Below are 13750 nucleotides of genomic sequence, written 5' to 3' on the forward strand. Positions count from 1 at the left end.
ATCTAAATTAGAGTCCTTGGAATCAACTACAAGAATAAGGAGGGTCATTATTTGAGGAGACAATAATTGTGATTTTCTTAAAATTTAAAAAAGTCATTTTATCCTGTAAGTGTAACATTCCAAACAAGATAATTAAGAAGAAATTCATACCTAAAACATTTTTCAGTGGCCTACACACCATAAGCAAAATTTTGCAAGCAGCAAGGGAAAAGCAGCTTATTTTTATTTTACCAAATATAAACGAGTTATCAGTAACAATGAATACCAGAAACAGTAGAATTAAATCCTCAAAGTTTTGAGAGAAAAATAACTGTCGACTTGAAATATGGAGAAACTTTGGAGGGCTGTGATTTTTTTCCAGTATTAAACATGCATGTATTAATCTTATAGTTTATTTTCTTGTTGTATATCTATATATAGGTTTTCTCTGCAGCACAGTTTCTCTTAGTTGTTCCCTTAGGGCACAACTAGTTATCAGTGACTAAATGTATCTCAATCATACTTGTTTCTGTTTTTTTTCATTAACAAAGTTTATATATATGTTAGCATATTTTTTTGTACCCTATTTGTGTCTGAACTATGTCACAGCAAAGTGTGTGCTGATAGGATTCTAAATTTGTATGGTTTAAAAACTTTTTTGCCAGGCGTGGTGGCTCATCCTAGCACTTTGGGAGGCCAAGGTGGGCAGATCACTTGAGGTCAGGAGTCCAAGACTAGCCTGGCCAACATGGTGAAACCCCACCTCTACCAAAACAAAAACAAACCAAAAATTAGCCAGGCATGGTGGTGCATGCCTGTAGTCCCAGCTACTCGTGAGGCTGAGGCATGAGAATCACTTGAACCTGGGAGGCAAGGATAAGATCACACCACTGCACTCCAGCCTGGGTGAGAGTGAGACCCTGCCTCAAATAATGTTTTTTAAGCAAAGTAAGGAAAAGCTGTATGTGTGTCATTGTGGACTGCAGATTCCTTTTAGATTATATTTAAAGATCTATGTATACAACATGAAGAATTATCTGAATTGTGCTGTAATTATGTTTATCTGCCAATATTTGATTAAATAAGAAGGAAAACTGGGGTGGGGGAGGCAGCTTGGGATTCTTAACTTGGCAAAACTATCAAAAGGAGGATGAAAAAAAAGTTTACCACAAAATGTTCTACTCTATAAGAAATGTAGAAATGATATTCCATTTTCATAGACATTGAAGCAGTTTGAGTGGCTCTACTCCATCATGTAGTTATACCACCTGGAAAATATGTCTAAAATTGATACAGCACAGGAATATAAGGTCAGAAGATTACACAGAATTTGTTTGTTTTTTATGTTTTTTTTTTTTTTTTTTTTTTTGAGACAGGGTCTCACTCCCATCACCTAGGCTGGAGTGCAGTGGTGCAATCACAGCTCACTGCAGCCTCAACTTCCTGGGCTCAGGTGATCCTCCCACCTCAGCCTCCCAAGTAGCTGGGACTACAGGCACACACCACCATGCACAGCTAATTTTTTGTATTTTTTAGTAGAGACAGGGTTTTGTCATGCTGCCCAGGCTGATCTCGAATTCCTGGGCTCAAGTGATCTATCTGCCCGCCTCAGCCTTCCAAAGTGCTGGGATTATAGACATGAGCTACCATGCCAGTCTACAGTGTTTTTAATGCCCAGACTTGGGAGAAACTTAAACCTCTTGCACTCATATCCTTCTGGCCAGAACCCAATCACTTGGCCACACCTGACTAAGCATGAGACATTTGGAGCAACATGTGGATATTGGTAATTTCTGCCACTCACAGGCATTTCACTTCAGAAGAAACATAGGTTAAAAAGATGAAAAGATGCTCAGATTATTTAATACTGAGAAATGAAAATTGAGACCATAGGAGATACCACTTTTTATCCATCCATCACATTAGCTAAAATAATCTAGCATTATCAAATGTTGGGAGAGGATCAGTAAGAACTCACACACTGGTGGTCAGGAGTATAAACATAACAACATTGGCTGAGTGCAGTGGCTCATGCCTGTAATCCCAATACTTTGGGAGGCCAAGGCAGGAGGATCACTTGAGGCCAGGAGTTCAAGGTGGCAGTTGAGCCATGATCATGCCATTGCACTCTAGCCTAGAAGACAGAAAGGTTAAAAGAAAAAAAATTTTTGAAAACAATTTAACATTATTTTATAAAATTGAATAGTGCTATGGTTTGGATACGTGTCCCCACCTAAATCTCATGTTGAAATGTAATTCCCAGTGCTGGAGGTGGGGTCTGGTAGAAGGTGATTGGATCATGGTGTTGGAGTCTTGATGAATGGTTTAGCATCATCCCCTCTTAGTACTGTATAGTGAGAGTTCTCACGAGATCTTTGTTGTTTAAAAATGTGTGGCACCTCCCCCTTCTCTCTCTTGCTCCTGCTTCTGCCACCTTGCCCCCCGCCCTTTGCCTTCTGCCATGATTAGAAGCTCTCTGGGGACTCCCCAAAAGCAGGAGCTACTATGCTTTCTATACAACCTGCAGGACCATGAGCCAATTAAATCTCTTTATAAGTTACACAGTCTCAGGTTTTCTTTATAGCAATGAGCGAATAGACTAATACAAATAGTTCTGTAGTCATAACTGTGCAATTCGCTCAAAGTATATAACCTAGAGAAGCTATTACAAAACAGACTAAGGAGACATGTACAAGAATATACAAAACATATGCAAGGATCATAATAGGGAAAGAGGGAGAAGAGAGGGAGGAGGGAAGGAAAGACAGGACCAACCCAAATGCTTTTAATAGAAGAAGGAATAAACTATCATGATCTTACAGTGGAATATTATCAAAAATTAATTATATGCAATAATATGGGGGAATGATACAATGTTGAGCTCTCCTGCAATCTGGTGAATGCAGTTTCAATTTCTAATTGGTTAATGCTAGGATATGGAAAAACTATTGACTTTGTATACTTACCTTGTATCTAGACACCTTACCAAATTGTATTCTATTAATTTTTTAAGGTTTAAAGAAATATAATCTGCAAACAGCTATATTTTCGCCTCTTTTCCAATTTTTATGTAATTTTTAAAATTTATTTGGTTCTTTTTGGGTTATTTCCTTAGCTTGAATTTCCAAAAATAATGTTAAATAATAGAGCTAATAGCAATCATTCTTTCTCATTCCCAACTCTTAAAATAGAGGATTTCACTATAGTTTACTGTTTTCTGGTTATGGTAATGTTTAAGCAGTGTCTTGCTACCTGGATTAATTTAGCTTTTAAGGAATAGCTGCTGAATTTTGCCACATGCCTTTATTGGCATTTGTTGATATGTGGTTTTTCTTCTACAAATGTCGATATAGTTATGTTTATAGATTTCTTGATGTTGGACCATTCTTTCCTGAAATTAAACCTCCATAGTTGTATTATTCATATTATATACTGGTAGATTCAATTTCTAATATAATTATGGAAACTATTTTCTTTTTTTTTTAAATAGTTGTTGGTTTAATTTAATTAATTTGATATAGCTGACACAAATATCTACAAAACCAAATATAAATATCTGTGCCACCACTAAATACTATAATTGCTATTTTTCAGCAATTTTAGTAGACTGTCCTTGTACTGACACTTCACTTCTCAGTCTAATGGGTTATTTATTTATTTATTTTAGTATTTATTGATCATTCTTGGGTGTTTCTCAGAGAGGGGGATTTGGCAGGGTCATAGGACAATAGTGGAGGGAAGGTCAGCAGATAAACATGTGAACAAGGGTCTCTGGTTTTCCTAGGCAGAGGACCCTGCCGCCTTCCGCTGTGTTTGTGTCCCTGGGTACTTGAGATTAGGGAGTGGTGATAACTCTTAAGGAGCATGCCGCCTTCAAGCATCTGTTTAACAAAGCACATCTTGCACCGCCCTTAATCCATTTAACCCTGAGTGGACACAGCACATGTTTCAGAGAGCACGGGGGTGGGGGTAAGGTTATAGATTAACAGCATCCCAAGGCAGAAGAATTTTTCTTAGTGCAGAACAAAATGGAGTCTCCTATGTCTACTTCTTTCTACACAGACACAGTAACAATCTGATCTCTTTCTTTTCCCCACATTTCCCCCTTTTCTATTCAACAAAACCGCCATCTTCATCATGGCCCGTTCTCAATGAGCTGTTGGGTACACCTCCCAGACGGGGTGGCGGCCGGGCAGAAGGGCTCCTTACTTCCCAGACGGGGCAGCCGGGCAGAGGCGTCCCCCACCTCCCTCCCTGACGGGGCAGCTGGCCCGGCAGGGCCTGCCCCCCACCTCCCTCCCGGACGGGGCGGCTGGCCGGGCGGGGGCTGCCCCCCACCTTCCGGACAGGGCGGCTGCCGGACGGAGACGCTCCTCACTTCCCAGAGGGAGCAGCTGCCGGGCGGAGGGGCTCCTCACTTCCCAGACTGGGCGGCTGCCGGGCGGAGGGGCTCCTCACTTCTCAGACAGGGCGGCCGGGCAGAGATGCTCCTCACCTCCCAGACGGGGTGGCGGCCAGGCAGAGACGCTCCTCAGTTCCCAGACGGGGTCACTGCCGGGCAGAGGCGCTCCTCACATCCCAGACAGGGCGGCGGGGCAGAGGCGCTCCCCACATCCCAGACGATGGGCGGCCGGGCAGAGATGCTCCTCACTTCCTAGATGGGATGGCGGCCGGGAAGAGGCGCTCCTCACTTCCCAGACTGGGCGGCCCAGCAGAGGGGCCCCTCACATCCCAGACGATGGGCGGCCAGGCAGAGACGCTCCTCACTTCCCAGATGGGGTGGGGGCCGGGCAGAGGCTGCAATCTTGGCACTTTGGGAGGCCAAGGCAGGCGGCTGGGAGGTGGAGGTTGTAGTGAGCCGAAATCACGCCACTGCACTCCAGCCTGGGCAACATTGAGCACTGAGTGAGCGAGACTCCGTCTGCAATCCCGGCACTTCAGGAGGCCCAGGCGGGCAGATCACTCGCGGTCATGAGGCGGAGACCAGCCCAGCCAACACGGCGAAACCCTGTCTCCACCAAAAAATACAAAAACCAGTCAGGCGTGGCGGCGCGTGCCTGCAATCCCAGGCACTCGGCAGGCTGAGGCAGAAGAATCAGGCAGGGAGGTTGCCATGAGCCGAGTTGGCGGCAGTACCGTCCAGCCTCCGCTGGGCATCAGAGGGGGGACGGTGGAAAGCGGGAGGGGGAGGGGGAGAGGGAGAGGGCTGAAACTATTTTCATTCAAAAAGTTGTCTATATCGCTTTTTAATCTTCATCAGATTTTGGTATTGTGGTCTGTAAATTGAGGAACTTATTTGATGTGAATGAATTTAACAGGAAGTCTGTCATTTAAAAGTTGATACAAGCTGGGTGTGGTGGAATGCATCTGTAATCCCAGCTACTTGGGAGGCTGAGGAAGGATGGTCATTTAAGCCCAGGAGTCCGAGGCTGCAGTGTGCTTAATGACTGCACCTGTGAATAGCCACTGCACTCCATCCTGGGTAACAGCGAGTCCCTGTCTCTTGAAAAAGAAAAAAAAAAAAAGGTAGGACACAAGCAGCCAACATGATCTAGCGGGCAAATGTAGAACACTCTTATCCACACGTTTTTTTTTTTTAAACAACCATGGAACATTCACCAAGATAGACCATATCCCAGATCATAAAACAAATTTAAAAGAATAGAGGTCATGTGGAGTATGTTCTTGGGCCATAATAGAATCAGATACAAGTCAATAATGGACTGCCAAGCACAGTACCTCATGCTTGTAGTCTCAGCACTTTGGGAGGCTAAAGTGAGAGGATTGCTTGAGGCCAGGAGTTCAAGACCAGCCTGATCAACATAGCAAGATCTCTATCTCTTAAAAATTTAATGTGTTATGAGTTAAGAGTTTGGAGGACTGAAAGTAATAATAGAAAAATTGCTAAACACATTAAAAACACAATGGGGCAAGGAGGAAGACAGGAATCTTTGTTTTTTTTTATTTATTTATTTTTTGAGACGGAGTCTCCCTTTGTCACCCAGGCTGAAGTGCAGTGGTGCAATCTCAGCTCCCTGCAATCTCTGCCTCCCGGGTTCAAGCAATTCTCATGCCTCAGCTTCCCAAGTAGTTTGGACTACAGGCGTGCACTACTATGCCTGGCTAATTTTTTTGTATTTTTAGTAGAGATGGGGTTTCAACATGTTGGCCAGGCTGGTCCAAAACTCCTGACCTCAGGTGATCTGACCAGCTCAGCCTCCCAAAGTGCTGGGATTACAGATGTGAGCCACCACCCCCGGCCCTGTTTTTTGTTTTGTTTTGTTTTGTTTTTCATTTTTTGAAACATAATCTCACTCTTTAACCCAGGCTAGAGTGCAGTGGCATGATTTTGGCTCACTGCAGCCTCAACCTTCCAGGGCTAAGGCGATCCTGCCACTTCAGCCTCCCAAGTAGCTGGGACTACAGGCGTGCACCACCACACCTGGCTAATTTCTCTATTTTTTGTAGAGACAGGGTTTTGCCATGTTGCCCACGCTGGTCTTGAATTGCTGAGCTCAAGCGATCCTCCTGCCTCAGCCTCCCAAAGTGCTGGGATTATAGGCGTAAGCCACAGCACCCAACCTAAAACAGGACATTTTAAAAAATACATAACAAATGGCAAAATACAACATATCAACACATATGTAATACGATTAAAGAGTACTGAGAGATGCCAGGCGCGGTGGCTCACACTTGTAATCCCAGCACTTAGGGAGGCTGAGGCGGGCGGTTCACGAGCTAACCTGGCTAACACGGTGAAACCCCGTCTCTACCAAAAATACAAAAAACTTAGCCGGGCATGGTGGCGGGCGCCTGTAGTCCCAGCTACTCAGGAGGCTGAGGCAGGAAAATGGCGTGAACCCGGGAGGCGGAGCTTGCAGTGAGCTGAGATGGAGATCGCGCCATTGCACTCCAGTCTAGGCGACAGAGTGAGACTCCGTCTCAAAAAATAAAATAAAAAGAGTACTGAGAGAAATGTATAGGTGCTAAATGATTGCATTAGAAATTGCAAAGGTCTCAATAAGTTCCTAACTCAAGACCCTAGAAAAAAAGAGCAAAATACAGTTAACCCTCAAACAACATGTGTTTGAACTGTGTAGGTCCACTTACACATGGATTTTCTTCCACCTCTTCCCTCCCCCTCACCCCAAGACAGGAAGATCAACCTCCCTTCTTCTTTCTCCTCCTCAGCTTACCTAACCTGATGATGACAAGGATGAACACTCTTAAGATAATCCACTTCCACTTAATGAATAGTAAATGTATTTTCTCTTCCTTATGATTTTAACATTTTTCTTAATTATAAAGATACAGTATGTAATACATAAACATATGTTAATTGTTTTGGTCAGTAGTAGGCTATTAGTACTTAAGTTTGGGGGAACTCAAAAGTTATACATGGATTTTCAGATGTGAAAGGGTTCAGCAACCCTAACCCCCCGCATTGTTCAAAGGTCAATTGTATAACTCACACATGCTGAAGTAAATTCAAAATTGTACAGCCACTTTGGAAACCAGTTTGACAGTTTCTCATAAAAAATGAACACTTAATACCTGACCCGGTGATTGGGAAAAGGCTTAATGAAATTCTAACAGTGAACTGGACGATAGAAGAGGTCAGGACAAGAGTGGCCATGTCGGTGCTGAGGCTGAGATACCTACCGAGGACTGTCACTCTCACGGCTTCCAGCCCTTCGACGAACTCTCAGGTGTGTGGCCTTCTGGCCAGGCTTCTGCCGCGTCACGTTGTTGAAGCATTCGTTGTATCCCTGGGGTTGCAGCTCTCTGTAAGTTTGCTGTGGCTGAACCAGGCAAGGCATAGGCGGATTTCTACAGAAATTATGATTCCACGAAAGATTTTGAGAAGAGGAAGGCTGGTATCTTTCAGAGTGCAGAGTGATTTTGCACTCTAAAGAATCTCTTTGGGTGTAATAGCATGGAAGTTTGTCGCTGACCTGTGTCCCTGAACTATGACACACGAATATGTGGGCTTAGAAATAGTTTTGCTTGATACATTGAGAACAACAAAGAAGACTGAGTGGCGCTACCTTCTTTGGTGCCCAGGATGGTTTGGGAAAGTCTCGCCTTCATCCTCCCCCACAGTTTTGCGATTTTGAAACGGGATCTCGCTCTCCGCGGAAGACAGCCAAGCTCTGCACCCCGGCCTGGCCCGCCGCACCCCGCAGGCCCGGCTCTCCCCTGCGCGCTCCGGGCTGGGCGCGGCGCGTGTGCGGAGCCGCCGCGGTGACACGGAACGCCGGCCGCCCCGGGCCGGGGGAGGCGCGCGTCGAGAGGCGACGGCGGGCTGGCCTGGCGCGCTGCGGCGCTCGCTCACCCGCTCCCGAGGAAGGGCAGTGGGCCCCGCCGCCGCCTCCCAATGGCGAGGCTGCGGGATTGCCTGCCCCGCCTGATGCTCACGCTCCGGTCCCTGCTCTTCTGGTCCCTGGTCTACTGCTACTGCGGGCTCTGCGCCTCCATCCACCTGCTCAAACTTTTGTGGAGCCTCGGCAAGGGGCCGGCGCAGACCTTCCGGCGGCCCGCCCGGGAGCACCCTCCCGCGTGCCTGAGCGACCCCTCCTTGGGCACCCACTGCTACGTGCGGATCAAGGTGAAGGGCCGCGCGGGCCTGGCGGGAGCGGGAGGGAGCGTGACCGCCGCGAGGGTGGGGGGCTCCGGGCTTCTCCTTCCGAGACGCTGGCTCAGCGTCCCCTAGTGTCCTGGCAGGAGGGGAGGAGGGGTTGGGTCCCTGTGTGTCGTGTGTGTGTGTGTGTGTGTGTGTGTGTGAGAGAGAGAGAGAGAGAGAGAGATACAGATAAACAGCACTCGGTCTTTGCAGGCACCTTGATTGGTTTCTGAATGTGGAACTTCTCTAATCAGGGGCCTCTTATATTACTGCCCCCCGGCGCCACAACAACCCAGAATAAACCTGCTCTTTTTCCTACTGCAAGGGGAAGCTGTCTCCTGTCACCCTTTTGCCCTTTAGAGCTCAGATCAGCTGTAGAGAATTGTTCCTCGTGGCATCCTAATGTCTCAGGAGGCTGTTCTTGCCCAATTTTAGAGATAATAAGAGTAAACAGTCAGTCTTTGGGAGTCATGAGTTTATTATGATCACAGACGACTTAGGTTGCATGAAACAATAAGTAAATTGTGTGTGTTGTGGGGAGGAATGCATACTTATGAAGTCAGGGACCAAAGAAAGGAATGGAATAAAAGGTAAATCCAGCCATGCCTGCAGACGCTAATTGTTCAAGCTTCCTCACAGCCCACAAATATTCTGTTTCCTGAGGCTCCAGGTGGTGAAGGGAAATAGTTCCCGTGATACACCCTGCAGTCTGACTCACAGGCCTTTCAAACCCAGCCTCATAAGAGGGGATGTTTATGTCACCAAGTCCTTATTTCCTGTTAGGAGCTAAATTGCCCCGCAGCTGAAGTTCAGAAGGGCAAGAGAACTTCTTTCTTGCCTGGGGTCGACATGAGAATTAAATAGGTTAATATTTATAAAAACAAACACGAAAAACTTAGAACAATGCCTGATGCATAGTCAGTGCAATAAAGTATCTGTTAATTAAATCCATTGCAGTGCCCATAACATTTAATCCTCCAAGACTCACCACCAATAAAAAAAGTTATTGAACCTCTAGGAAGCCATCGTGCAGCTGAGGGTAAAGTCAGATTTGTTATCTCTGTTCAACCTGAGGGGTAAAAGTAGTATAAGAACCATCTGGAATTCCATAAAACACTTTTCCCCTCGCTCTGGCCGCCTAAAGAGCTTCCCCAGAGACAGAGAACCGAGTGGAAAGAGCATTGTCCTGGGAGTTAGGACAAGATGGAGATTCTGGTCACAGCCCTGCTCTCAACCATTTTATGACTCATGTTACCATCTTTGGGCCTCATCTTCTGAATCTGCAAAATGATTCTTTCACATCTGAAAACTCAGTTGCTTGAGTTGCCTGCTATAAAAACCCAATGTCTGTGTTTAGCTTTTGGTTCTTTTTGTTTCCTAGCTTGCTTGCTTTCAGAGATTTTTATTCCTGCTGTTCCCTCTACTTTCCTCAATTCAGCCTGCTTAGTATTTGCTTGAATTCCTGACTCATTCCCATGTTTTTTTAATTTTCCTTGGGTTTTCTTGTCTCCTACATGCAGAGTGAAGTCTTGAGCACTCAGGGCATTCTCTTATTAGAAACGCACACTGACATGACATGAGCAGGCAGCAAGGGGAACAGAACATGCAACACTCAAAATAATAATGTGGGAAGGAGAGACCTAAAAATAAGAGAAGGAGGTGTGAATTATATAACTGATGGCACAGCTCTTGACGGGCAAGCTGAGAAAAGTAGATGACTAGGATGTAAACATGGCAGAAATATAAATTCAGATTAGAATTATTTACATGTCCTGCAGCATTTGAGGGAGATGAAATGTGACACATCAGTAAGATGAAAGTTACAAATGGTAAGATGAAAGTTACAAATTGTGACATTGCTTCAGAAGCTCATAATATATAAATTGACTGTACTAGAACAAGAAGAGAAGGTACTGTCAAGGGAGTGTTGACAAAGTGAATCTGTCAATTTACCCTATTAATAGGTCATGGGGTTTGCTTTTCTTTTTGAAAATTAATAAAAGTAAATATATTTCTTGATGTTAAAAATAAGGCAACTGAGTGTCATGAAGATATTGTAAATACACAAATGTTTTAAAATAAGGCAAGTTACTATTTTTTTAATGAAATGGAAATGCTAAATATATTGCTTTGTCAATCAACACAAACATCACTAAAATTCCATGCCCTCTACTTTCAGGATTCAGGGTTAAGATTTCACTATGTTGCTGCTGGAGAAAGAGGCAAACCACTTATGCTGCTGCTTCATGGATTTCCAGAATTCTGGTAAGCTTACCAACTAACATTTATTGTTACATTAAAACTTGGCTTATTTTCTCAGTTCATTTTGTGCTGCTGTAACAGAATATCACAGTCTGGGTAACTTAAAATGAACATAAATGATTTTCTCAGAGTTCTGGAGGCTGGGAAGTTCAGGATCAAGGTGCCAACATCTGACAAGGGCCTCCTTGCTGCAACATCACATGGCAGAGGAGGAAGGGCAAAGAAGCAAAAGGGGGCCGAAATTGCCCTTTCATAGTGGCATTATTTCCATCCATGAGGGCAGAGCCTGCATGACCTAACCACCTCTTAAAGGTCCCACCTCTTAATACTGTTACAATGGCAATTTTTGAGACAAGGTCTTACTCTGTCACCCAGGCTGGGGCACAGTGGCATGATCACAGCTCACTGCAGCTTTGAACTTCTGGGTTTAAGCAGTCTTCCCACCTCAGCCTACCAAGTAGCTGGGACTACAGGCATCTACCACCACACCTAGCTTTTTTTTTTTTTTTTGGAGGTGGGATCTTGCTATATTGCCTAGGCTGGTCTTGAAAGCCTGAGATCAAGCAATCCTCCCACCTTGGCCTCCTAAAGTGCTGGGATTACAGATGTAAGCCACCACGCCAAGCCTCTTGTAATGACTTTTAACAGACCCTACTTTTTGATCATGTGCCCAGAGTTAATATTCCTAAATGTTCCTGAATCACAGGTCTTTTTCCTCCTAAAAAGACCTACCTGCTACCAATTTAAATTTATATATTTTTTTGAGGATTAAAAGAAGTATCTTTTAATGTTTCAAATTTCTGAAATAGTAACAAAACAGTTTGTATAGAGTATCTACTATAGACAAAATACAACACTGGGTAGGGAAAGGAGATTTTAAACAAACCAAAGACGTGGAGTGATTGTTATTAGGAAGATTTTGGTGAGGCTGGGGTGAGGAGAAGGCAGAGTAGAGCACTTATGGAAACTGAAAATGAACTATTTCCTATGCACAGAGCAATAGGCTTATATGAATGCAGGATAATTTAAGTACCTAAATATTTCTCATTAGGAAGAAAATCTGGAGCCCCAAATATGTAATTATTAGTTACTATCTTCGTTCATTTTTGTTGCTAACAAAATACCTGAGACTGGGTAATTTATAAAGAATAGAAATTTATTTCTCACCGTTCTGGAGACTGGGAAATCCAAGATCAAGGCACCAGTAGGTTCAGAGTCTGGTGACATCCATGTCTGTGTGTGTCCAACATGGTGCCTTGTTGATGTGTCTTCTGGAGGCAAATAAACTTCATCATATGAATTTTGGGAGAACATATTCAGACCATAGCAGTTACCTAAGGGGAAGTGTTCTGTTCTCTATTGACCCCACTGGGCCAAATAAGTACAGATGAAAGCAACACATGTTTAAACTTTTTTTTTTTTTTTTTTTTTAATGAACATCTTTAAAAGAGGTGGTACATATCAGGAGGCCGAGGCGGGTGGATCACGAGGTCGGGAGATTGAAACCATCCTGGCTAACACGGTGAAACCCTGTCTCTACTAAAAATACAAAAAAAAAAAAAATTAGCTGTGCTTGGTGGCAGGCGCCTGTACTCCCAGCTACTCGGGAGGCTGAGGCAGGAGAATGGTGTGAACCCAGGAGGCGGAGCTTGCAGTGAGCCGAGCTCGTGCCACTGCACTCCAGCCTGGGCAACAGAGCGAGATTCCGTCTCAAAAAAAAAAAAAAAAAAAAAGGGTGGTACATATCATGGCAGTAAAAGAAAACCAGTTTTTATAGCACAGGGCTATAAGAAATAGTTCATAAACTAAATAGGTCAAGAAATTGATGTTTTTAAAAGCCCAGTTCCCTTAGTTGACTCAAAGGTGGAATATCTGGTATATTTTGAAAGGTCTAGGACAATATCCTGTCCCCAAATTCTCCCTTACTATCTTATAATTCCTAGAATTCCAGCATTACAGATTTCTTACCTCCTTTAGAGTCTTAAAGATTTTATGTCACTCAAAATCCTGATTTAAAATGCATCTAGTGCTGAAAGGATTACTACCTTAAGACGCTTCTTTTTTTTTTTTTTTTTAAACAGTCTTGCTCTGTTGCCCAGGCTAGAGTGCAGTGGTGCAATCTCAGCTCATTGCAACCTCCATCTCCTGGGTTCAAGTGATTCTCCAGCCTCAGCCTCCCAAGTAGCTGGGATTACAAGTGCGCACCACACCCAGCTAATTTTTGAAGTTTTAGTAGAGACAAAGTTTTACCATGTTAAACAGGCCAGGCTGGTCTCAAACTCCTGACCTCAAGTGATCTGCCCCCTTCAGCCTCTCAAAATGTTGGGATTACAGGTGTGAGCCACTGCACCCGACCCACTTTAGTTAATACTTTGTGAGTGAAAGGGACTTTATGAATAAATGTATTGAGGATGTTAGTGTACTAGGAGGTATTAGGCATTGAAGAAAAGAGTGGAGGATGGCAAAGACACCTATACCTAATAATTTTTCCAGAGTGAGAAGTCTTCCTTAGAAGATTTTCCCTGCATGAAGATTTTTTTCCCCTTCTGGATTTATGTGCATAAATAAACATAAGTCATTTTCATGTTATGCTTTGATCTGTTCTTTCATTTGGAGACAGCTTAATGAGGTGGTAGATTAGCTGCCCAGTGCAATTCGAGCATATGCATATGGTCTCACCTTATGGAGTGCGTGGCATAATTAGTTCACAATAAAATGTTACTCTGAAACACTGATCAAATCTGCCTAACATAGCATGGGCAGTACATTCTGGCTCAACCACTAGTTTGCTGAAGAACCCTAAACAGTCATCTACAATGATGTTGCAAAGTTGGGTGAGGATGAAGAGAGTCAAAATGTCGAAAATCTTTCACGTGGCCCCAGTGA

General features: G+C 44.1%; 1 protein-coding gene and 1 long non-coding RNA gene across 2 annotated transcripts in view, besides 1 other annotated feature; one reads left to right on the forward strand and one right to left on the reverse strand.

Annotated features, from left to right (window-relative positions):
• Nucleotides 1–202: 202 nt before the first annotated feature.
• LOC124904218 (uncharacterized) lies at nucleotides 203–8664 on the reverse strand. Its single transcript, XR_007066222.1, has 2 exons — nucleotides 7642–8664; nucleotides 203–5481 (listed from the first exon to the last, which is right to left on the reverse strand). It is a non-coding gene; the product is annotated as an uncharacterized LOC124904218 (long non-coding RNA).
• Nucleotides 7961–8462: an enhancer, noted in NCBI's record as "H3K27ac hESC enhancer chr1:92495241-92495742 (GRCh37/hg19 assembly coordinates)". NCBI's record gives its function as "activates a minimal SCP1, AML or CMV promoter by ChIP-STARR-seq in naive H9 embryonic stem cells {active_cell/tissue: H9 hESC(naive)}" and the evidence as "EXISTENCE:reporter gene assay evidence [ECO:0000049][PMID:30033119]".
• Nucleotides 8262–13750, forward strand: part of EPHX4 (epoxide hydrolase 4) — a 33554-nt gene continuing 28065 nt past the window's right edge. Inside the window, exons 1-2 of the mRNA NM_173567.5 lie at nucleotides 8262–8587; nucleotides 10782–10867. Of these exons, the coding sequence (NP_775838.3) occupies nucleotides 8357–8587; nucleotides 10782–10867 (317 nt within the window). The 5' untranslated portion in view covers nucleotides 8262–8356. The remainder of the gene's footprint in view (nucleotides 8588–10781; nucleotides 10868–13750) is intronic.

The sequence above is a fragment of the Homo sapiens genome, chromosome 1 (genome assembly GCF_000001405.40).
Source record: "Homo sapiens chromosome 1, GRCh38.p14 Primary Assembly".
Classification (NCBI taxonomy): domain Eukaryota; kingdom Metazoa; phylum Chordata; class Mammalia; order Primates; family Hominidae; genus Homo; species Homo sapiens.